This window comes from Homo sapiens, chromosome X (genome assembly GCF_000001405.40).
Source record: "Homo sapiens chromosome X, GRCh38.p14 Primary Assembly".
NCBI classification, from domain to species: Eukaryota; Metazoa; Chordata; class Mammalia; order Primates; family Hominidae; genus Homo; species Homo sapiens.
This window is the reverse complement of record NC_000023.11, coordinates 118,339,369-118,363,897: the sequence shown is the minus strand read 5'-3', so window position 1 is coordinate 118,363,897 and position 24,529 is coordinate 118,339,369. Positions and strand designations below refer to the sequence as shown.

The window sequence follows — 24,529 nt, the reverse complement described above, 5'->3', positions numbered from 1 at the left end:
TTAGATGTATTACAGCAGATAAGTAATCATTCTAGAATCTATTAATTACTCAATATGATCTTTAGCAAACTGGTAAAATTTCAGAATGCCTTTTGACCTTACTTTTTGGATTTTGGATTTATTTTAGAAAGTATATACAGTTAAATTTTGCACATAGGCTAATTTTCTTATTGAAGTCTGTTTTAACTTATCTTTTAAAATGCTATTCTGTATTTGATATGTGCAATGTGTACACGTAATTATGAAGCATAAAAAAATACATCCTGTCACTTACCACATTAACTGAGAATTAGCATTAATACCAGTGCAGCTACTATGTGCTTTATTCCATCTGCTTGCTGCTCCCTTAGAGGTAACCACTATCCCAGATTTCGCTTATTGTTCCCTTAATTTTTTGTTTTCAAAAACAGTTCATCATACGTGCATGTATCCCTAAACAATATGTTGTTACATTTTTCTATTTTTTTCTTTTTTCTCCCTTTTTTTTTTTTTTTTTGAGACGGAGTTTCACTCTTATCTCCCAGGCTGGAGTACAACGGCACGATCTTGGCTCACTGCAACCTCCACCTCCCGGTTCAAGCAATTCTCCTGCCTCAGCCTCCGAAGTAGCTGGGATTGCAAGTGCCTGCCACCACGCCCGGCTAACTTTTGTATTTTTTTTTAGTAGAGACAGGGTTTCACCATGTTGACCAGACTGGTCTTGAACTCCTGACCTCAGGTGATCTGCCTGCCTCTCTGCCTCCCAAAGTGCTGGGATTATAAGTGTGAGCCACGTTTTACTATTTTTGAGCTTTGAGCATTGATGCATTTTCAAAAAAAAAGAAAAAAGCATTGGACACTAAAATAAATAGCATTGCGCTAAAAAACACTTAGTATTCCCGTGAGAGTAAAGGTTACTCTTGTCATTGCATGGTGTATTTAAATCTCACAACTGTGCCTATATCTACTAGTCTCCTGCCTCTTCCCCACCTAGGGTTGCCAGATTTAGCAACTAAAAATAAAGGATGCCCAGTTCAATTCCAATTTCAGATAAACAATGAATACATTTTTAGTATGTTTATCTGAAATTGGAATTGAACTGAGTGTCTTGTACTTTATCCAGCAACTCTACCCCACCCCCAAGTTAATTAGGTGGATAATTAATCCTACGTTCTGTTAGTGTGTGATAAAGGGACAAAGCAGGAAGAATTGCATGGCCAATGCCACTGTATAAATATTCATCTGATTTTTTAATAGTGTTCACTGAATGGGGAAAAAATTTGCACGTGTCTATTTAGTCAGAGCTCTTCCAGACAGTGCATGCACTGAATAGGCTTAAATGCAAATACTACATGTATGGTATTATGTACATTTATCAAAAATGCTCAGCAAAAAGCAGGAAGGTATATAAACAGCTTCATTATTTTTTGGCTTAGATTGCCCCACAAAACCAAGATGGCTACTGTAATACATTGACAAAATCTCTAGATATGTGATTTGACTTATAATCACTGAAACTGTCCTCAGTCAACATGTTCAAAATGAGGTTAACCTGTATAGGTCAAATAACCATCAACAACCAACTTTCTAGATAAATATCAATTAAAATTATTTTGTCATTAAAAAGGGATTCAGTTATTACATATACAAAGTCACTTTAGAACAGTCTCCTCACTTTACAAAAAGCGTAGTAGAAATATTCGTTATATTATTTCTATATCAATCTAAAATCTGATGAGCCTTCTGCAACGTGAAGTAGAATTTGCTTCTCAATTCTGTCAATGCATAATCTCACAATTTTCCCACAGCTGAAGCACTAATAGCTCCTAGATTTGAATGGCAATCAATGCAAGTATGTATTAAGAACCTATATAGATTAGATTCCCCAAATAGAAGCTACTTGTACTGTCTTGCCTGGCTTACTGCAAAACTCATATTTTGAAATCAGCTACTGACGTGGCTGACTAGTAGGAATCTAACTTGGTTTTTCATAGCTTCTGCAAGTGGTTTTTCTCTGGGCAATTATTGGTTTTTCTCCAGGCAATTATAGGAACACCTTTTCCAATTTTAAACTCAGATCTTCAGCACTCATGTGGTATGGCCTTAAAGTAATCAGGACTTAAAATAATGGTGTAAGTGCTTAGGTGTAGTTATTATTTTTTTTTGAGACAAGGTCTCTGTTTCCCAGACTGTAGTGCAGTGTGGCATGATCTCAGGTCATTGCAACCTTCGCCTCTCAGGCTCAAGTGATCCTCCCACCTTAGCCTCCAGAGTAGCTGGGACTACAGGCATGCACCACCACATATGGCTAATTTTTTTTTAATTTTTTAATTTTTTTGAGAAGATGGGGTTTCACCATATTGCCCAGGCTGTTCTTGAACTCTTGGGCTCAAGAAATCTGTCTGCCTTGGCCCCCCGCCTGCCTCGGGATTACAGGCATGAGCCACTGTGCCCAGTCAAGTTGGCTTTTTAAAAATAACTTTAAATTTCTGTGGTTTCAAAGAGCCAGAGACCATAAACCATCCCACAGTTAGTTTCTCACTCATTAGCTATAGACAGATCCTTCTGCCTCTTGGGCTTGGTGTTTCTCTATTCCTTACCCGAAGATTATTTAAAAACGAACACATGAACCCTTCTGCGAACAGGAAGGAATCAGTGTGTAGACTAAACTTACATTTGCCACCTGCTTCATGTTCAACTAAACAACTAGGAACTCAAAGAACCACCTCCTAAAGTACAAAAAGGAAATATCAGAGCAATCTCACACTTTTACCATTATTTTCAGACTTTTCTTTATACTCAAGGAAAAGAATATACCAGAACAATTGAACATACAGAAAAAAATTGACTAACAAGGTCTCTTTTTATTTTCCTGTCAGTAGGAAGACTCACTTTTTTTTCAGGCCCTGAGGAAAAAAAAAGGTGGTTGGCTCTGCAGAAGCCTTTTGTCAGGTTGCAAAATTCCTAACAGACTCCTAAAGAGGTAAAAAGGAGCAATGACATGGAAGGAGGGAGTACAAAGTGAGTCAGCTAGAATAAAGCTGGTTGCTTGGGAAACATTTTTCTTACATGAAAGTGACTACAAAAGGTTCACCAGGAAATTACCCTACAGCTTGATTTTGTTTTTATCCCCCTCTATCCTTTGTTATAAAGAAAATATAAAAGTAAGATGAGCTTAAGCAGTGCACCAAGGAACTGAATCAAGCAAAGCAAAGAATAGCTTGCCTGTACAAAGAAGGCGCTAGGATTCTAAGGTCCTTGAGGTGAACAGGGTATGAGCATAGATAAGGACTTAGCCAGTCATTAAAGTAAGCAACTAATTAAAGAGTTTTGATTTCTAAAGTCCAGCAAGTTGAAACAGTAAGATTTGATAGCAAACTAAGACCGACACTGAAGTGCTAAGTCTAAACAGGGAATCACGTGTCTGGTCCTCAGGAAACACTTAACAAGAACTCTTTCTTGGGCCCACTGAGGCCAGGCAGAAAAATGATGACAACAAAAAATGAAGCAAAAAACAAAAATAAAAACAAACAAAACTAACCCTAGGTTGAACCAAAAATTAAAAACACTTCAAGTTTAGAGAACAAGAGACTGTTCTCCTTTGTTCTTAAATCTTGCTTTAAGTGCACAGCTTTTAAAATGTGGTATGTAATACTGTACACTGGAGTTGAAATGTATATAAGCACCTTCAACCTAAAGACAGTGCTACTCAAATTGAAGAAATGGCATCTAAGAGAAAAATCATCTGCTGGCCTTTCAAACCTAAATAATTTGTAACAGTACCACTCTCATTCTCACAGTCCTATTTTAAGTTGACTACTAATAATTTTAAGTTGACTACTACCAAAAGTGATAATACCAACTAAACCTGAAAAGTCTAAAAACAGCAGGAAAAAAATAAGTGCTAGGCAATCATAAATTAGTCTGATTTTCCTAGTACATCCCAAAATCTCAGGTAACTAGGCAGCAGAAAATAGAAATCACTCGAATTTCCTTGGATGCAAAGCAATACTGGTTTATTAACAACATTCACAAAAAGCTGAGAATAGTTATGACAATTATCCAATAGGATATTAACTGAATCTTCAAGATGTGAATTATTACTTTTATTACCTTTTGAAAGGACATTTAAATTTTAAATACTATGAAAGCATAGCAGATTACATCTAAAATTAACTAATAATTATTTTATCAATGATATTAATAGAAATAGTGAGAAAATTTGGCACAATGGCCCTATGTTTTTTGAAAGGTTTTGTGGCAATATTTGTAAATGATCTTTAATGAAATCAAAGGAAACTTTGTTGTGAAATATACATCTGTTCACATACAGGGTAATTACAAAACTTCAAGTGGACCTTCTTACAATTATATCTTATCTAAAATGACAACCTGATTTTTCAAAAATGATGTATGTAGTGCAGCTTTATGCCATATTCCTAAAAGAACAGCTTGATAATGTATTTACTGACATAAACAGAAAACCACTTTCCTGGGCCTACTCAAGGATTCCAAACTAAAAACATTCTATTCTGCACATTCACAACCATTCAATAAATACCTGCAGTAAAACAATAACACCAAGGTAAGGCAGCTATATCACCATGTCCCAATTTGTTAAAGTAGGTTAGAATAAAAGTCAAATCTATTAATGACTTAAAGTAATTTCCAGTAAAATCAAGACAGAAACAGATAACTAAATTTATGCCTGCCTAGAGAAATCAATATCTAATGCAATCATGCTAGATCACTGTTACTTTTGAAAAAGTAAACAAGATGTTGGGCTACAGGCCGTATTACAGAAGCTTTATCAAGCTAAAGTGCTAAGATTTTTTTTTTGGTTTTGAGATGGAGTCTCACTCTGTCGCCCAGGCTGGAGTGCAGTGGTGTGATCTTGGCTCACTGCAACCTCTGTTTCCCGGGTTCAAGGGATTCTCCTGCATCAGTCTACCGAGTAGCTGGAGGAGCTCCTGTGTGCTACCATGCCCGGCTAACTTTCTGTATTTTTAGTAGAGATGGAGTTTCACCATGTTGGCCAGGCTGATCTGGAACTCCTGACCTCAAGCGATCCACCTGCCTCGGCCTCCCAAAGTGCTGGGATTACAGGTGTGATACACCATGCCTGGCCATATTAATATGGTTTTGTAAGTTACCTAAAACATTAAATGGAGTACTAATCTGTGTGTGGTGGTGGTTTTTTCTTTTTTGTTTGTTTTAGACGGAGTCTCGCTCTGTCGCCAGGCTGGAGTGCAGTGGTGCGATCTCGGCTCACTGCAATCTCCACCTCCTGGGTTCAAGCGATTCCCCTGCCTCAGCCTCCCAAATAGCTAGGACTACAGGCATGTGCCATCATGCCCAGATAATTTTTAAAAACTTTTTGTAGAGATGAGGTCTTGCTACATTGCCCAGGCTGGTCTCAAACTCCTGGCTTCAAGTGATCCGTCCACCTCAGCCTCTCATGGCACTGGGCATGAGCTTCTGTACCTGGCCAATCCTTACTTTGAGCAAAACAGGTAAACATATTTAAAATTTAAAACTATTTTAGTTATATGAATTCTGAAGTTTTTAAGAGTTAAAAAAGTTTGTCAAATAAATATAAAAAAAGAAAGACATATGGCTTTTTAAAAATAAAGACCCATACAACTATCCAGTCTTTACTGTTCTCTTCCTGTTTATTCAAGGGCTACAAAAGAAAGATAACACTTCCTATTAGTTTTCTAAACAGTTTTCTCAAATTAAAATGAATTAATCTAAAGGCCAAACATTCTTTCTACAACCTATAGAAATCATTTTTGTTAAAAGCTGGGTTATTTGGTAGCTGTTGCTGATCAAGATGCTTTTAAGTCATTTTTAGCTAGTTTGTGACTACAGGCGTGTACCACCATGCCCAGCTAATTTTTTGTATCTTTAGTAGAGATGAGGTTTCACCATGTTGGCCAGGATGGTCTTGATCTCCTGACCTCATGATCTGCCCGCCTCGGCCTCCCAAAGTGCTGGGATTACAGGCATGAGCCACCGCGCCCAGCTGTGTGTGTTTTAAGAGTCGGGGTCTCACTCTGTTGCCCAGGCTGGAATGCAGTGGTGTGATTATGGCTCACTATAGCCTTGAATTCTTGGGCTCCAGTAATCCCCCTCTACGCCCACCTAGCTGGGACTACAGGCAAGTACCACCATGCCTGGTTAAGTTTAAAAAAAAAATGTTAGAGACAGGGTTTCACTATGTTGGCCAGCGTGGTCTCAAGTACCTGGCCTCAAAGGGTCTTCCTGCTTCAACCTCCTGGGTAGCTGGGATTACAGGCATGAGCCACCACACCTGGTGGGGTACTAATTTTTAAAAGTAAATGCCAGTAACTTCTAAATAAAAACTAGCATTCTAAAGCACCTGTCGTGAGCCCCCCTTTTTAAAAATTTAAATTGATAAATTCTATTAGTGAACTACTCAGACTTCAAGATTTCTTGTTTTCCTTCTTTTGAGTTCACTGCTCATCACCAAAGATGAGCAGAGGAACAAAACTCAAACCAAACTATTTATTTTTTAAAATTAAAGAAAACCTACTGTTATTATCTTTGATAAAAGTTTTGATGGTAAACTAATGACTGACCTGAGATTGTTGTGTAACTGACAGCTTTTAATTATTCATGTTTTCCTACAATATCATGAATAACAAAAACTCAAATATATTTCAGTAAAATCTGCCATTAAGTACTTTATTTTCTAAATTTAATTTCTATGCTTTATGTACTTGAATTTCTACTTCTACATTCTTTTTCTAATGAAATATATATCAGGCCAGGTACAGTGGCTCATGCCTGTAATCCCAGCACTTTGAGAGGCCGAGGTGGGAGGATCACGAGGTCAAGAGATTGAGACCATCCCGGCCAACATGGTGAAACCCCATCTCTACTAAAAATACAAAAATTAGCTGGGCTTGGTGGCATGCCAGCTACTCCGGAGGCTGAGGCAAGAGAATCGCTTGAACCCGGGAGGTGGAGGTTGCAGTAAGCCGAGATTGTGCCACTGCACTCCAGCCTGGTGACAGAACAAGACTCTGTCTCAAAAAAAAAAAAAAAAGAAAGAAATATATATCAATGACTTGATATATATATTCTACAAAAATCTTCAATTATCTAGAATGCTTACCTACAGAACACACTATGTAGATCAAGTTTAAGCCCTTTACTATTATTACAAATTGTTCAATCTTATTTACATCTTAAACAGTAATTACTAATCATTTAATTTTTTTGTAATTACCCAGCTATTAGGAATACATTTTTCCCATTAGTTTGAAAGCCAATAGAGGTTTGATTAGGTAGGTAGTCACAAAGAGTGACAAAGCAGTCACTCTCTGTGACTGCTACAAAACACATTTGAAGGGAAAGAGAAAAAGAAACATTGTGTTTCTAGTTAGAGGCTTGTGGCCAAAAAAATGAATCAGTTATACTAAAATAAAAACAAAACACAATACAGTACTGTGGCCTAACTAAGCAACTGACAACAATCTATAAAACAATTGTAGGAAAAAAAAAAATCTGGGATTAAGACTTTTTGACACGGCACTGAAACCCAAATCAGCAATGGCTCATATCCTGAGGGGGTTTCCCTTAGGAACAAAGACCATAACTCTTTGAAATGCAGTGAACAGTGTCTGGGATTCCAGCTTTTTCAGAAGCAAGGTCATTTTCTGACCTGGCTACCATGCCGTAATCAATTATGTCAAAGCTTAAAATGAAGGGCATAAAAATACTGCTTTTCATTGTTTGAAACAGTAACTTTTTAAAAGAACTTTGAAAACAAATGCCCACCGTTAGTTAGCATTATGGTGTTATGGTGTTATCGTTCTTTGCATGTAACATGTAGCACTATAATATTTCTTTCTTACTGTGAACACATTCATTCCTGAAAAAAAAGTTGGTAACAAGGAACTGATAGGAATGCAGGATAACTGGCAACACCACCCAAGGTTTTACTGTTAACATTTAATATTTACTGGGTATAGGATGTCCTCAAGTTATGAAGATCCTATACATCCAAAGCACTCTCTTTGCCTCAGCTCCCTTACCTACCTCCTCTTATAGGAACTGGTACCTGTGTGTGTTTAAGGGTGACTGGAGATTGGAGAGAACCAGGAAGTTCAAAATCAGAACCAATTGTGAAGCGCAGTAGATACCACAGAGCATGCTTACTCACCACCCGCCTCCCCAACTAAACCTTGTGTGCACTGCTAGACATAACTGTGGACTATGCTGGGAAATAAGGCAAAGGTTAAAAGTCAACAGCTAAGGGCTATGATCTGGGACATAATAGGCACAGTAAGGTGCACTTAAAGGAAAAAGGACTGATCTCAATCATTAACCTTAACCCTTAAGCCAAGCTAATAAAGATAAAATACCCATTGCAAAATACAGACAAATCTACTTGCTTTCACTCACAAAGCTACTAGTTTTATCAAGCTACTTGTTCATTCTGCTCACCCATCTTTCACTAATCCAATGACTAAGCACCACCTGTAACACTAAAGTCTTTACCAACTTGTCCACCATATCCAATGCAACCAATTTTTCCCTTACTCCTTCCAAAAGTTCCCACCCTTTATATTTCTTCCATCACTGACCCTTCTCAGTTTTAAGGGACAAGAAGTAGTTATACTAGGAAATCTCTGTACTAATGACATTGACTATGCTAGGAAAGAAAAAGCTGGCAGTGAAAGGGGTGGAGTTGGGGCTGAGTGAAATGTTCAATCCACCTGCCATTTTAGTTTGGCATGGATAGGTAATATATTTTAAAAGACAGATTTAAAAAAAAAATTCAATTGTTAACAGTACTGCTAATAACCAGAAAGATGATTCCCTTAGTCTTCCAATTTCAATAAATACTTTCAGGCACAGAATTAAAAGAGGACTATGGATATTAAGTTCATCCACAGCTATTCTTACCAGTTCAAGAACAATGTCAGAAAGAATACTCCCACCTCTTCTCTTGAGCTTGCTTAGTAATCAGGATGCTTGCTCCTGGGACAGTGAGTTTGCATACAGCACTACATACTATTTATAGGTTCTCTAGAAAGTTTGATCTGTGGTTCATAAGAATGCCCATGGTTCAATGAGTTTTGTACTGGAATAGTCTATTACAATTAGTAGTGGCCAAGTAGGTTTTATACAGATATAGATAGCTTGTTACAGGTATGGCTTGTTCTGTATAGGATACCTATTAGAAAATACCATTCAGTGTATACCTATGTAACAAAACTGCATGTTCTGCACATGTACCCCAGAACTTAAAGTATAATAAAAAAAAATACCATTCAAGTTTTCCCTCAGAAGTTTCAAAAAATCTTATATTTCATCCTCAGATTTTTTAAAAACCTGACTCCCCCTTTGAAAAATTTTAAAGATCAGGACTCTGTGGAGAAAGTGAAACCAGTCTTAAGTCTATTTGTACAATTAAAGATTTCCTTGAAGCATTATCATAATTTAACTATAGTTTTTTTTTTTTTTTAAGAGACAGAGTCTGGCTCCATCGCCCAGGCCAGAGTACAGTGGCGTGACCATAGCTCACTGCACCCTCGACCTCCTGGGCCCAAGCAATCCTCCTGCCCCAATCTCCCAAATAGCTAGAACTATAGGCATGCACCATCATGTCCAACTAATTTTTAAAAACTTTTTGTAGAGATGAGGTCTTGCTACATTGCCCAGGCTGGTCTCAAACTCCTGGCTTCAAGTGATCCCTCCACCTCAGCCTCTCATGGCACTGGGATTACAGGCATGAGCTTCTGTACCTGGCCAATCCTTGTTTTGACCAAAACAGGTAAACATATTTATAATTTAAAACTATTTTAGTTACATGAATTCTGAGATTTTTAAGAGTTAAAAAAGTATGTCAAATAAATATAAAAAAAAAGACCCATACAACTATTCAGTCTTTACTGTTCTCTTCCTGTTTATTCAAGGGCTACAAAAGATAACACTTCCTATTAGTTTTCTAAACAGTTTTCTCAAATTAAAATGAATTAATCTAAAGGCCAAACATTCTTTCTACAACCTATAGAAATCATTTTTGTTAAAAGCTGGATTATTTGGTAGCTGCTGATGATCAAGATGCTTTTAAGTCATTTTAGCTAGTTTGTGATGATACTGAGTCTAAAATCACATTTGCAAATATATTTCCTAAATGGTCACCCTCGATCTGGAAATTGATTCTACTTGTTATTATAAAGGGATGGCTATTGGATGCAGTGATGCAATGCATTCAATCTTCAGGGCAATGACTAACACTGGATTGAGAAAATTAGTATGAGGAAATTGCTGCCTAAACATGTTTTTGTTAAATTATATATGTTTAAAATGTTTAAAAAGGTTTGGAGACAAAAAGGTTTTGTGGACTTAAAAAACAACTGACTCTGATGGAATGCCAAACTGTGAACTGCCAGACAGTTGCAGCTGGTAATAGAACTCTAAGACCTGAAGCGCTCTGGCAGAACCTGATTATATGGTAATCCTAGTATCTGAGAGAAGGCAAAAGAGCTAGAAGAATAACTGATAGACTGGTTGCTATAGTAACCAAGATAAATTTGTATACTGACTGAGGAAAAACATCAGGGTTGCCATCAGGTATGAGGCCCACATTATGTCGTAGGTGCTTTTTCCTCGGTTTTGAATCATGAGATGACAGACTAACACAAACACTGCTGAGTTTGAAATAAGGGAATAGAAAGAGTTTCACTCTGAAGAGTAAGGAAAGCACCCTATTAAAGGTTTAGCTGGTTAGCTGAATAATATCCAACAGTGAGAGGGGAACAGTCCTTGTGAAAGTTTGTAGATATTAGCCTAACTATGGATAGAAATGAGAAACATAGGTTATTTATCAATTCAAGCTAAATATCAGTAGGACATCATAAAGTACCTACAATTTTTGTTACTTTAACTTTGATTTGAGGTATTTCTTATAGGTTATTAATCTCTTAGAGAAGGGGTTATTTAATTCATGCTGTGAACATGTGTATCAAAATGATGGGATTTGTCTTATCTCAGTTATCCATGCCCCAGGAAGCAGCACTGTAACTTGGTCTCTATACCTACTGCTGGGGCTACCTTTACCTCTTCCACCTCCATCACCACAACCTGCATGATCTCTTTATACTCCCTTCCTCCACCTCCACTACTACCCCAGGAAGTAACTAACAAAATTGCAGAGTATGAGGAGGAAACAAGCAGCCTCTTAAAGGTGCTTGCCTGGCAAATTCACCTGATTCTGTCAAAGTCTTAACAATGAACTTAAGAGTACAAACACATGGAGTGTTGGGTAATGTAAAGGTTAGACAGTAAGTCTAAAATACCAATAATTAGAAATTATTTTCTGTTTAAGACCACCACTATACTTCACATCCTAAAACTATTTAGGTTTTTAATATTTTTTAAAATCAAGGGACAGGTGCAGTGGTGCATACCTGTAATCTCAGCACTTTGGGAGGTCGAGGTTGGGTGGATCAGTTGAGCCCAGGAGTTTGAGACTAGCCTGGGCAACATGGTGAAACCCCATCTCTACAAAAAAAAAAAAAAAAAAAAATATATATATATATATATATATATATATATATATAAATTAGCTGGGCGTGGTGGTGCACATATGTGGTCCCAGCTACTTGGGAGGCTGAGGTGGGAGGATCACCTGAGCCTGGGGAGGTCGAGGCTGCAGTGAGCTGAGATTGCACCATTGCACTCTAGCCTGGGTGACAGAGTGAGACCCTGTCTCAAAAAAAAAAACAAAAAACAAAAAACAAACAACACAAATTTTATCTGTCCTATCTTATGAAGTAGATTATCACAAGAAGAGAATACAGTTTCCAATTTACAGGAGTTTATACAGATTCAACTTGAGCCCCCAAATTGCCATGCCACTATGGACTATCCTACCCCCATGAGTTACCAACTGACAGTCAGATGTCACTAAATATAAATTGTTTATTTATTTATTTTTGAGACGGAGTCTTGCTCTGTTGCCCAGGCTGGAGTGCAGTGGCATGACCACAGCTCACTGTAACCTCCGCCTCCCGGGTTCAAGCGATTCTCCTGCCTCAGCCTCCCAAGTAGCTGGGTGTGTGCTACCATGCTCGGCTAATTTTTGTATTTTTAGTAGAGATGGGGTTTGACCACGTTGGCCAGGCTGGTCTCGAACTCCTGACCTCAGGTGATCCACCCGCCTCAGCCTCCCAAACTGCTGAGATTACAGGCGTGAGTCATGGTGCCCGGCCGGATGTCACTAAATTTAGAACTTGAATTTACTAACTAATATGTAGAGGGTTGTTTTTTCTCACTTCAATATGATGTTACATGAGTGCGATAAAACAGCATTTGTAAATATACTTCTATCACTCCTTAAAGCCTTCAGTAATCAAATTTGTGATCAAATGTCAACTCATCAACAAACAGCCATTTTTAAGGAAACTTCCCTAAAGTAATAAATATTGCACAGGTATTTTTTAAATTAAAACTTGTATCAATTTTCAATTCAGAGAGAAATGTTTCTGACACCTAAGTAAAGTGAGAAGCTGAGTTTTCAACAAAGGCAGCTACACACCTTTTTGTTTTTCAGACCTAACAATTATTCAGGACAGTTTGGTCTCAGTTCCCATGACTTAAGATTTTATCATTATTCCTATCTGAATATGGTAGATTGCAGTTAATACTAACTAAATGCCTAAGAATAAAATAATACAAATAATCACTGTTCTTAGACAAGCTATTTTGCCATTGTTTTTCACTTTCACTTGGAAAAAACTCGTAAGCAAAACTTAGGATTCTAAAATAGTTCAAGACCTCTGATAGGCAAGGTATGAAGAAACAGTCAAGTAAACCATCTTAAAAGCCCAGCTAATAGGGTAAGTGCCAGAAACCTATGGCAGGAATAGCCAGCAATACTTTCCCTTCTTCCGCAGACATGGTAGCATGGTATAAGTGAGGAATCAAGAGACCTGGGCTCTAGTTCCAAGTCTGCCCTTATTAGCAATGTGTCACTTCCCCTCTCAGACCCTAAATTTCACTTTCAGTTAAAAGGGAAGGCTGGGCTAAAATGATCTCCAGTCCCTTCCTACTCTAAAAATGTTATGATTCTATCCTTCTTCCAAGGCCTCAAAAATATTTTGGCTGCCACTAAAAAAAAGAGTGCTGAAAATGTTACATTTATTTTTACAACATGTTCTCAGTGCCAGCCTTTAGTATGTGTAAGTATAAACCACATGAGTTAGCAGGGGCATTCATCTCATATATAATTTACCCAGTAAATACTTAATTTCAAATTTATGGGTCTTGAACTATGTACCAAATACCATTAAGTTAAACGAAAAGATTAAAAAAAATCACGAAAGATTTACCAAGAACAAAAGCTTATCAATACAAGCACACTATTAAACCTCAATATAAAGACATTTAGAGTTGGAAGGGTTCTCAAGAGTGTAATCCCCTCAATTTAAAGATGAGGAAATAAAATGACTCACAGTGCAGGGCTCTTTTCTAGTGTACCACACGATTCCTCTTCTCTTTCCTGCTCTATCAAAAGACAGCCCAGTAGCAGAAAGAACGCCAGACAGTCAAACTGATCCGGGTTCTAGACCTAGCTCCACCATTAATTTGCTGTGGCAGCTTTTACAAGTTGCTTTCTCTCTCTAGGTTTCAGTTTTCACAACATTTTACACGAAGGAGTTTAACTAGATGTCCCTTCTAGCTGCAACAGGCTATGATCTTGCAAAATTCCTATCTGACAAAACAAAAATACACGTTGCTGAAAGAAAGTGGAATTTCTTGCCAAGAGAACAAAAAAGTTTAGGCTGCTGGTTTTAATGGAGATGTATCAGTTCAATTCAGCAACTTGGTCCTAAAGCATTTTACTCCAGAATTTACCAGGGGAGGATCTCTGTCCACCTCTCTGTCACTGCTCTCATCGCCCTCCACAGGAAAAAAAAAAAAAAATACTGGACTAGGAGTCTGAAGAGCTGGTTTCAAATCCCAGTTCTGCCACTTAAAAGCTCTCTCCTAGGACAAATTCACTTAACCGTCTCTGAGTCTAAGGTTCCTAGGCCAGGTGCGGTGGCTCACGCCTGTAATCCCAGCACTGTGGGAGGCCGAGGCGGGCGGACCATGAGGTTAGGAGTTCAAGACCAGCCTGACGAACATGGTGAAACCCCGTCTCTCCTAAAAATTAGCTGGGCGTGGTGGCGCACACCTGTAGTCCCAGCTACTCAGGAGGCTGAGGCAGGAGACTCTCTTGAACCCGGGAGGCGAAGGTTGCAGTGAGCAGAGATCGTGCCACTGCACTCCAGCCTGGGCGACAGAGCGAGACTCCATCTCAAAAAAAAAAAAAAATGTTCCTCATATGTAAAAATGAAGATAAAAATGAGAAAACCTGGGCCTGGCGAGATGGCTCATGCCTGACAGTAATCCCAGCGCCCTGGGAGACTGAGGTGGGAGGATCACTTGAAGCCAGGAGTTTGAGACCAGCCTGGGCAACATAGCAAGACCCCATCTCTAAAAAAACCTTTAGCTGAGCAGGGTGGTATGCACCTGTGGGAAGATAACTTGAGCTTAGGAGTTTGATGCTGCAGTGAGCCATGATCTCACCACCTCTCCAGCCTGGGCAACAGAGTGAGACCCTATCTTGGAAAAAAAAAAAAAGAAAAGAAAAAAGAAAATAAAGAAAACCTGACCTAAAATATCAATAAAAAAGCATTATAAATACGGCATATATTGCAAAGCTGGGCAAGTGAAGATCATCTGCCACTGTAGAAAAGTAGGCTGTACTGGAATTAAAAGTCTCTAAAAAAACTGGGCTGATTTTTAACTTATTAAATTTGCTTTCAAAGAGTAGATTAACAAAGCCGAAGACATCATTGGAAGGAAAATGCAAGAAATAAATTAATTTTAGGAAATAGCTTGTGTATTAGGATTGTGCTAATTAACAAAACATGAGATAAGTCTCCACTGCCTATTCAGTTTACTACAATTTGTTGACATAGTCTGTGTACTCCCAAACACACAACAGCAAGGAACATTTCTGAAGTGCCCAAATTCAGTCTATTAACCTTAGAAATTGTATAGTTTGCCACTCCAGATCATATGAAGGAACAGAACATATTTCTGATGACCAATATCTAGTAAGGCAATCTGTTTCCACAAATCAAGATTTCTCACTACATTTCTAGGTTATAAGTTGCCCACCCAGATCTCCTCACGGTGTCTTATGCAAATGATACAACCTTCCACAAAGGATAGAGGAAAATGTAAATGATGCTAACCTTTTTCTGCCCTCAGTGCTGCCAGTTCTTTTCAGATGCAATTCTCCAGATTAGTCTATTGTCTTTCCAATCCTCTAATACAGAAAGGAGCCCTGAAATCCACAAACTGACCCTGTAGTTTTATCCATAGAACTCAACACACTTAGTAATTGGGCAGGTTAAAGTTAAAATTAGAAAGCTGAGTTCCAAAAAAACCTTTTTCAGTTTTCACCTAATATCAGAGGATCAAAGTGCTTGAGAAGCTGTATTATCTCATGAGGGAAGAAGTGACTCTATCAATTCTATCAAAATGACTCATCCGGTTTAGATAAGTAAAATAGGTCCAAGTTCTATATATCTCCCAAAATAAGCTTTGTGTAAAGTTAACAAATTTGCCAATGCCAAGAAAGGAAGGAGAAAAGCATGAACATTTTGAATGCTTTCTCTGTGCCCAGGTACTGGACTAGACAGTTTACACAGGTCCTGATATAACTTGCGTCCTTTGAAATTAAACTTATTCAGTGGAAAGAACAATATCCACAGAGTAGTTCTAAACTGATCAGCTCATAAACTGATGATTTCCCTCCCCCACCCCAATACACACACACAAAAGTACCAAAGGACTTGGTGTCTCATTCAATCTGAATTGTCAGTTCATTACTTTGAAGGGAAAACCACACACACAAAAATTAAGTTTCACGGAAGTCCAATACATTTCAAAACCCAAATGTATTTCCTATGCTCTACACCTAGCTCTAAACTTGTCTCAGATATTGAACTTGAAGGAGATTCGGTGTCATCTCAAGATTGGCCACTGCCACCCCAAAATCCCACAACAGTGACATGAAGGTTGGTGGAAAGACAAACATCTGAAATCTACCAACGTACATTGCTTTCTGATTTTATTACTGTAACTTTTTGGTGCATATTGTGTATAAACATACATTAGTTTTTAGAATGACTTCTAGCATGCATGGCTAACTATACTTGCATCACAGCGGGTTATTACTCCCACGGAGTAAGTGTGAGAATTGAAGGCAGTGAACTTCTCGAACCATATTAGTCCTTTATACTAACATCTACATTTTACCAATCCTCAAGTTCTTACAGCATGAAAATATATTTCACTGCCTCTATTTCCACGTACATTCGTAGGGGAGTTCGGCGAAATCGCTTTAAAGCACTACCCCAACTTTGAAAAGTGGAGAAGTGGGTAAGTAAATACAAGTCCTAGTCAAGCGAGCATTCCAACTACTGTACTTCCTATTCAGAATCACCCATATTAATCACCACTAAAACATCTTGCAGAATTAGATAAAGAACACAAAGCTGGGGCTCTCCTTCCAATCACCAGATTACTCAGCACTTGTTTGTCCCTCTGCAGTCAGTTGTGCACATTTCTTCTGTCTGGCCATCCTTTTAGACCGCATTCTGCCTAATAGGGACCGTGTATTCGATTTCCTTTACCTCACGATAAGGTGTTATTTTAATAAAACACTGTTGATCTAGAGTACATTCGCTAGAGGACTTTCTTAAGCAAATACCCAACCTTCCCCCCGCTCCTTTTCGCTGTGTGCAAGAAAAAGAGGACGGCAAATAGGGGAGAGTTACAGCCACCTCTGAAGTGAATAGGTAAGTTAGCGGTAAACGGGAGAATAAAAAACTACAAGTTACATTTCTCCTGTTACTGCTCCTTTAATCTACGGTCCCCGAGGCCAAAACGGATGTTTGAAAGGTAAGCTCAGAACCCCACAGATACAAATCTCCGACTCAGGCACGTAAGCTGTTCCCCCTCACAGAAGGCTGGATCAGAAGAGAAACGGGCTCCGAGACCGACCCTGGGACCGTTCAGTAGGGAAACGGCCGGGAGGCTGCCCGAGGTGGCTGACTCCCCCTTCTCCGAGTCACCCCGCCCTAAGAAGCCCCAGGTCTGGGTTCTGAAGTCCTCCAGTGAGACGGGGAGGAACAGCGGTGGCGGACACAGCGGGACCTGGGAGGGGTGTAGGGGGAAGACACAGGAGATGCGGGGGGCTTGGGATGCCCGGCTTCCTGTCATAGCTGCAGTCACTTACCCCACGGGGTAGCCGCCCCCTAGGTGCACATCTTCAGGGGCATCATAGAATTCCTCGGTGTCGCTTTCCGACGCCATTTATAGGACACACCCGCGGGTGAGGGGGCCGGCGCCGCCTGGAGGAAGGGTGACTCTTGTCTCCTCCTCGTCGACCTCCACCCGGGCGAGACTGGGGAAGTGGGTCTCGGGCGAGGCTGAGGGAGCAGACGATCTGTAGCGAGGAGACTGTTAAGGAAAGGGGGCCGCCCTCAGTTGCCGGGCTTCGGGAATGACCGGCAAAGCGGCCGCCTGAAGAGGCGGCGGTTGGTCCAGGGAATGTTGCTGCCACCGCTCCCAGTGATAGGTGTATAAGGAGCGCGAAAGAGGCGGTGGCTCCTCGCAGTAAGGGAAGAAGGGCGCGCCGGCTACAGCGGCTCCAGTTTCTCCCGCAGCAGCAATTTACAGCAGCTGGAAGAGCTAGTTGCCCGCAAAATACCGACGCGCACCTACCCTCGCGAGATTTCGGAGGGGCGGTAATACGTGGGCGGGGCGAAGAGGTGGCGGGGGCGGTTCCAGAGAGGCAGCGCTCCGATTACTTCGGCCCGAGAAGCCTATCAAAACGGCGCAAGCGCGTTGAGGGCGTTCGGTGAGGGCCGGAAGTAGCCGAGAAGGGAGGGGGTGAGCCTCCCGAAGGGAGGAGTCTAGGACCTGCGCAGGAGCAGCGTGGTGCCCTGGCTCTGAGAGCGCGCGGCCGACGTAGGTGGGGTCAGGCAGAAAGTCTTACTCCCTAACTCTGCAGTTCCAAAGAGACGCGTTTTGAGAGGGGTGATTTTGAGTCGGTCTTTTACTTGTAAAGAAATACTCTCGGGAAACGTTGGTGTGGACATTTTGGCGTATATTTACGATGTCTTACTATCCAAGCCCGGAATGTCCCACCCTAGGGCGTCGGCAGGTCCACCACCTCTGGCGTTACGAGAATAACTCGCCCTTATTCACTACGAGATCTCTAATTGAGATCCCTAGATATGATCCTGCCGGCCAGAGGGTGGGGTCCTTGAGATATACACGGGGAGTGTGCCAGTTCCATGGTGTAATGATGGATTTATTGCTGGAGCTGAGCCAGTATTAGGCCTCCGGTTACTTTTTCTCCGCACATGTCTGTCGCTGCCAACACAGTGTGAGAGAAGTTCTTACATACTGCCCAAGATGTGCGTCAGCTAAATGGTAAATATTTATTGAGCAGATATCATTGCAAGCCTACGAGCTAATGGCTTAATTCTGATCCTCAACTGCCCAGCGTCCGGTGATAAAAATAGAAAGGTACTTTTTAAAAAACCGAGATGTTCCTTCTTAAACCACGGGTCATTGACCATCAAGGTGATAACATTGACTTTCAGTATGATCACACAGCATATTTATTTCTCCAACTGACATCATGATAGGCATTTTGAGCTGTTCGTGCAGCCTCAATTAGTATTCAAGAAAAGGCTGGATTGGAGCCAGGGGTATGGTCTCAGAGAAACTGGAAAGGGGCTCTAGACTTTGTCAAGCAATCAGGGCAAGGTCTGCTGTGGTCTAGTGGACTTGGGTAAAAACCAAATGTCATATACTGTATATTCTATAATACCCCAGGGAGTTTAGGGAAAACACTGCGTAATCAAATATATTAATATTTTTGCAGCAAGATATATGATTGTTCATACGGGATAAATAAATACAAGTAAATAGCCTCATTCAGTTTGAGTCAGACGCTTCTGCCAAATAAGTTTAAGATAGATCTATTTGACTGTCAAATAAATTACTAAAAAAAAAAAAAAACAGAAACTTGGTTTCCAGAGCTTTTGAAGTTTCAGAATTGGAGACAAGGGATTTGTGGATCCTTGTGAGGGTATGACTTTTGTCAAACCTAAAAATTATTAGGTTTTATGTGTCTTAAACATGTTAATTAACTTCCTAGGTATAAAAATGTAACTCAAAGTACTAACTTTTAAAAACGTTTTGCTCACTAAGATAGGTTTTTTTGTTTTCTTTTTGGATTATGGAAAGATACCAGATATAAGGTAGGGAAATATATATTTATGGAAAGATGTTAACTACCTGAATGTATTCTCTTCCTAGATATCTAATAGTGAATTTATGGCTTCCAAAGAAAAAAAAGTTAGTTTTCTCTATATGATAGAGGTGTTAGTTCCAGGCGCGGTGGCTCACGCCCGTAATCCCTGCACTTTGGGAGGCCGAGGCAGGCGGATTTCTTGAGCTCAAGAGTTTCAGACCAGCCTGGGCAACATGGTGAAACCCTGTCTCTACAAAAAATTCAAAATTTAACTGGGTGTGGTGGCATGTGCCTATGGTCTCAACTACTGTGGAGGCTGAGGTGGGAGAATCGCTTGAGCCCAGGAGGTTGAGGCTACAGTGAGCTGAGATAGCACCACTACACTCCAGACTGGGCAGCAGAGCCACACCCTGTCTCTCACACACACACACAAAAAACAACAGCAACAACAAAAACAAAATGCCGTGTGTGGAAACCAGTCGCTCAGTTCAGTAAACATATACAATTTGGTGTCATGAAGCGTTCTAGATGCTGAGGACAATTGACAGATTAAAAAGACAACTAGATCCGGCGCGGTGGCTCACACCTGTAATCCTAACACTTTGGAAGGCCGAGGTGCGCAGATCACTTGAGGTCAGGAGTTCGAGACCAGTCTGGCCAACATGGCAAAATCCTGTCTCTACTAAAAATACAAAAGTTAGGGGGGCGTGGTGGCACTTGCCTGTTGTCCCAGCTACTCGGGAGGCTGAGGTAGGAGAATTGCTTGAACCTGGGAGGCGGAGGTTGCAGTGAGCTGAGATCCCGCCGCTGCATTCCAGCCTGGGCGACAGAGGGAGACTCTGTCTCAAAAACAACAACAACAACAACAACAAAAACAAAACAGAAAAAGACAACTTAAGTTTCTGCCTACAAAAAGCTAATAATCTAGCAGTGGAGACAAATACGGAGTCCTAGTTTGGTGCTCTGTTTTTTTTCAATATACCATATCAGCTCTCTTGGACCTTTTAAGCTGCCTTAAACATTATACTTAGAAAAAGGTAAAATGGATAGGAATGATAAACTGGTAACATTTTTAGAGCTTTTAAAGTTTCCGTTTAAATGCTTTTATCAATTGCATGAGAAAGCCAATTGCTAGAATGAATTGCTGGAAACGTTAAAACACATATAAATACTGCCCATCGTCACTTTTTTTTGTTTTTTTTTTTTTTGAGATGGAGTCTCGCTCTGTCGCCCAGGCTGGAGTGCAGTGGCTCGATCTCTGCTCACTGCAAGCTCCGCCTCCCGGGTTCACGCCATTCTCCTGCCTCAGCCTCCCGAGTAACTGGGACTACAGGTGCTAGCCACCACGACCGGCTAATTTTTTTGTATTTTTAGTAGAGACGGGGTTTCACCGTGTTAGCCAGGATGGTCTCGATCTCCTGACCTCTTGATCCGTCCGCCTCGGCCTCCCAAAGTGCTGGGATTACAGGCGTGAGCCACCGCGCCCGGCCCCATCATCACTTTTAAAGATGTAAAAGATGTGTTTATTTTGCCTGAAATATCAGTTCTTGAGTTTTAAAGCAGCAGATTTTAGGTATCATCCAAGGCAGTGGTTTTGAAGCTTTTCTCTGTATTAGAAATGGAACCTTAATCAAACTTAATTTTATGCAAAAGTCGATATAGTATACAAATAAAAACTGCTCTATTTGAAACAGGGTTTCAAAGTTGAGGTCCCTGTCTGTTTGACCTTCCTTGAATCTCCGGAGACTGTCCTAAGGCCCGATAAAAAAAAAGAACAAATGAAAAACTATTGGTCCAAAGCAGAGGTTGGCAAATTATGGTCCACTGGACAAATCTGTCCCACTCTCTGTTTTTGTAAATAACATATTGTTGGAACATAGCCAGGACTATTTGTTTATATATTGCACATGGCCGCTATCATGGCAGAGTTGAGTAGCTGGGACAGAGACTGTGTGACCCACAAAGCCTAAGCCTAAGATATTTACTATCAGGCCGTTTTTACAGAAAAATTTTCAGATCCTTGGTCCATAAGATACTATTTTCTAGGGTACCTCAGAACTAAAAATACCCTCAAATTAAATGGTTTCAGCAGATCATATGATGCTGCAAAATCATGTGTGTAGATAAAAATAAGAATAAAACCTTCCCTACCTGGCTCATTCCCAATGACTATTAAAATTTCATACATCTAAGGGTAAGGTGGGTTTAAGGAAAATTTTTATGCTTAACTAAATTCCTTATCTGCATAGCAAATACTCTACTCTCCAAAGACTAGAGGTCACAGCCACTGTATGGAACAACTTATCTGTGGGATGTTCATTCTCTCCTCTTGGCAAGAATAATACAAACTGGCAACATCCTTGAGGCTAATTTTGCCGCAACCCCAAGGGTAACCAGTCACTCAGAACATCAGTGTTCCAAGTACATCCTAATGCATGTAGCCTTTTGTTACAAGCAAGAGCTAAAGTGATAACTCAGGAAAAATAATTTTTTATGTACAGTGTTAGGTGATTTGAGACATAATGTTGACAGGAAAAGATTAAATATTACTCACTGTGTTGCCCAGGCTGGTCTTGAACTCCTGGCCTCAAGTGATCCTCTTGCCTTGGCCTCCCAAAGTGTTGGGATTACAGGCGTGAGCCACTGTACCTGGTCTACAACCTGCAACCCTTCTGATACCTACTTCCACAAGCAAATTTCAGGTCTTTTTCAAAGTAAAGTACCATCTTTACTGTAGCATTTATGTATTTCCTAATCATTTTACATGTGTAAAACTGTGCTGCCATTTTTATTAGGTTCATATCTTTTTGTGTATATATCACTGATGAAATTTTTGAATGTTGTGCCCCTACCCCATTTTCCCCATAAGCCTTGTGGTTTTTATTGAACAATTTTGCATAGCAGAGTGATTTTTAGGAATGCTCATGCCCCTTTATAGCAGAACTGACTGTAGTCCAGATGTGGTAGCTTCAGGTATGGCTGGATCCAGGGCCCAAGATATATCAATACGCTCTCTCTTTCTGTCCATCTGCTTCTTTTTGTGTTTTGGCTTCAATTTTCCTACTGCAAACAACTTCCTTCTTGTAGTTAGTGAAGATGGCTGCAAGGAACTTTAGCTTATAATGTCTTAATAACTCTCAGTCCCAAAGGAAGTGAGACTTTCTCTGTCAGTGTTTATATATTAAATCTCAGAGAGGATGTTGATTGGTTTTAGGAGGCCCATCTAGCTAGGAGCATACAGAACTCTCATTTGTTCAGGCCTGGGTCAGCTGATTGCTTGCCACTCGCCAAATCAGGAGAGACTACTGTGATTATCTTCCTTACTAGGACTGCATAGAATATTCAGTGGATGTTTTTTCAAGGAAAGGATACTAGCAAAACAAACAGACAAACAAAAGGATACTAGCAGACAGTAGCAACATGTTTATATAAGTTATTAAGGGGTAAGTCTCTATATACATTGACATGAAAAGAGCTCATAAAGTGTTAAATGAAAACAGATGTTACAGAATACTGTGTATAGAATAATCCCATTCATGTCAGTCATTTATCTATGCACATGTGTATACCTCTGTGTATGGAGAATTCTGGAAAAATATTCACAAAGGATTTACGGCGAGCATCTTTTGTTGCTGATTAAAATAATAATAATAGGAGGTTTGTGCCTTATTTGTACCTTTGTGTAATGATTTTCTACAGCGAATATGTATTACCTTATAAATAAGGGGAAATTATTAAAAGAAAATATATAACCTATCATATACAAGGTAGATTTACATACAAAATTAAGATCTAAAATTCATTTCCTACATAGTGCATAACTATGAGTCCTGGGCCTATTGTAGGTAAGATGGTTTCTGGAACACTTCAGTAAATACCACCAAGAAGCTGAACTTTGAAAAAATACCCACAAAGCAAATCTTGAAATGCAATTAGTCTACCAGTAGAAAGTCATATTTTCTGCACTGCAAGCCTGACACATAAAGAGAATAAGTAATGGTAATTTCTAAAGCAACTAGAAATGGTGAATCTGTGAAACAGATCGGAAGCTTTTTGGAGCAAGGTTGGAGGTATACTTCTAACAATATGGACTAAGCATAATTTTGTTTTTCAACACATTGAGTATATATGGCGTGATCTAAAGAGAAATGAATAAAGGCATATGAACTTCATCCTTCAAAAAAATTATTCTGGGTCACAAACTGGAGAAGATGTCTTTTATCTACCACCCATGGCATCTTTATTTTTTTTAAATGCTTGAAACTCAATCTAAAGGCAAATATTTATATAGAAATGTCAGTCACCAGGCTAATATACACATACACACACACACTCAACAGCAACAACTAGAATTTTCTGGTGCTATAGACTGTTTGTGTTCTCTCAAAATTCATATGTTGAAACCTAATCCCCAATGTGATGGTATCTGGAGGTGAGAAGGAACTTTAAAGGTCATCAGTCCAAGCCTCATATCTCATAGATGAATTCCTTCTACAAACTTCACCAGTAAATGGTCATTCAAGGACATGGAGTTTAGTATTTATCCAATCAATTTTTTGATAACCTCTAATGTTAGCAGATTTCTTCATTTTATTTGGCCCAAATCTACATTTCTGTAATTTTCATCCACTGGTTATGATTCTGGTTACTAAGTCCATACAAAACCTTTCATCTTTTCAAAGATGGTTATCAATTCTCTGTTGTATGTTTATCTTGGGAATATATACTGATATGTTTACACTGAATGTGTTCAGAGACAGATAAATGGGAATTTTGACTACACAATTAAGGTGGTGCATTAAATAAATATGCAATAATATGTGCAGATACTATACATGTCCACCATATGTGTACAGTACCTGTTTAATGGTATGTTCTCTGTGTGTACCTAGTAATAATATGTTTTTTTGTTTCTTTTTTGTTGTTTTTGTTGTTTTGAGACAGAGTTTTGCTCTCGTTGCCCAGGCTGGAGTGCAGTGGCGCGATCTTGGCTCACCACAACCTCCGCCTCCCAGGTTCAAGCGATTCTCCTGCCTCAGTGTCCTGAGTAGCTGGGATTACAGGCATGTGCCACCACGCCTGGCTAATTTTTGTATTATCAGTAGAGACGGGGTTTCACCATGTTGGCCAGGCTGGTCTTGAACTCCTGACCTCGTGATCCACCCGCCTCAGCCTCCCAAA

At 39.8% G+C, this 24,529-nt stretch overlaps 1 protein-coding gene across 4 annotated transcripts in view, besides 5 other annotated features; it reads right to left on the bottom strand.

Annotated features, from left to right (window-relative positions):
• Window positions 1-17,825, bottom strand: part of WDR44 (WD repeat domain 44) — a 103,889-nt gene extending 86,064 nt beyond the window's left edge. For 3 of the 4 annotated variants that reach the window (NM_019045.5, NM_001184965.2, XM_011531353.4), the window contains exon 1: window positions 17,318-17,792. In NM_019045.5, the coding sequence (NP_061918.3) occupies window positions 17,318-17,394 (77 nt within the window). In that variant the 5' untranslated portion in view covers window positions 17,395-17,792. Of the gene's footprint in view, window positions 1-17,317 lie in introns of all 4 variants that reach the window. The other variant, NM_001184966.1, reaches the window with a different exon arrangement.
• Window positions 10,576-10,645: an enhancer, noted in NCBI's record as "active region_29871". NCBI's record gives its function as "activates an Ori minimal core promoter by ATAC-STARR-seq in GM12878 lymphoblastoid cells {active_cell/tissue: GM12878}" and the evidence as "EXISTENCE:reporter gene assay evidence [ECO:0000049][PMID:35858748]".
• Window positions 15,027-15,621: an enhancer, noted in NCBI's record as "NANOG hESC enhancer chrX:117482240-117482834 (GRCh37/hg19 assembly coordinates)". NCBI's record gives its function as "activates a minimal SCP1, AML or CMV promoter by ChIP-STARR-seq in primed H9 embryonic stem cells {active_cell/tissue: H9 hESC(primed)}" and the evidence as "EXISTENCE:reporter gene assay evidence [ECO:0000049][PMID:30033119]".
• Window positions 17,117-17,660: an enhancer, noted in NCBI's record as "H3K27ac hESC enhancer chrX:117480201-117480744 (GRCh37/hg19 assembly coordinates)". NCBI's record gives its function as "activates a minimal SCP1, AML or CMV promoter by ChIP-STARR-seq in naive H9 embryonic stem cells {active_cell/tissue: H9 hESC(naive)}" and the evidence as "EXISTENCE:reporter gene assay evidence [ECO:0000049][PMID:30033119]".
• Window positions 18,202-18,251: an enhancer, noted in NCBI's record as "active region_29870". NCBI's record gives its function as "activates an Ori minimal core promoter by ATAC-STARR-seq in GM12878 lymphoblastoid cells {active_cell/tissue: GM12878}" and the evidence as "EXISTENCE:reporter gene assay evidence [ECO:0000049][PMID:35858748]".
• Window positions 18,442-18,561: an enhancer, noted in NCBI's record as "active region_29869". NCBI's record gives its function as "activates an Ori minimal core promoter by ATAC-STARR-seq in GM12878 lymphoblastoid cells {active_cell/tissue: GM12878}" and the evidence as "EXISTENCE:reporter gene assay evidence [ECO:0000049][PMID:35858748]".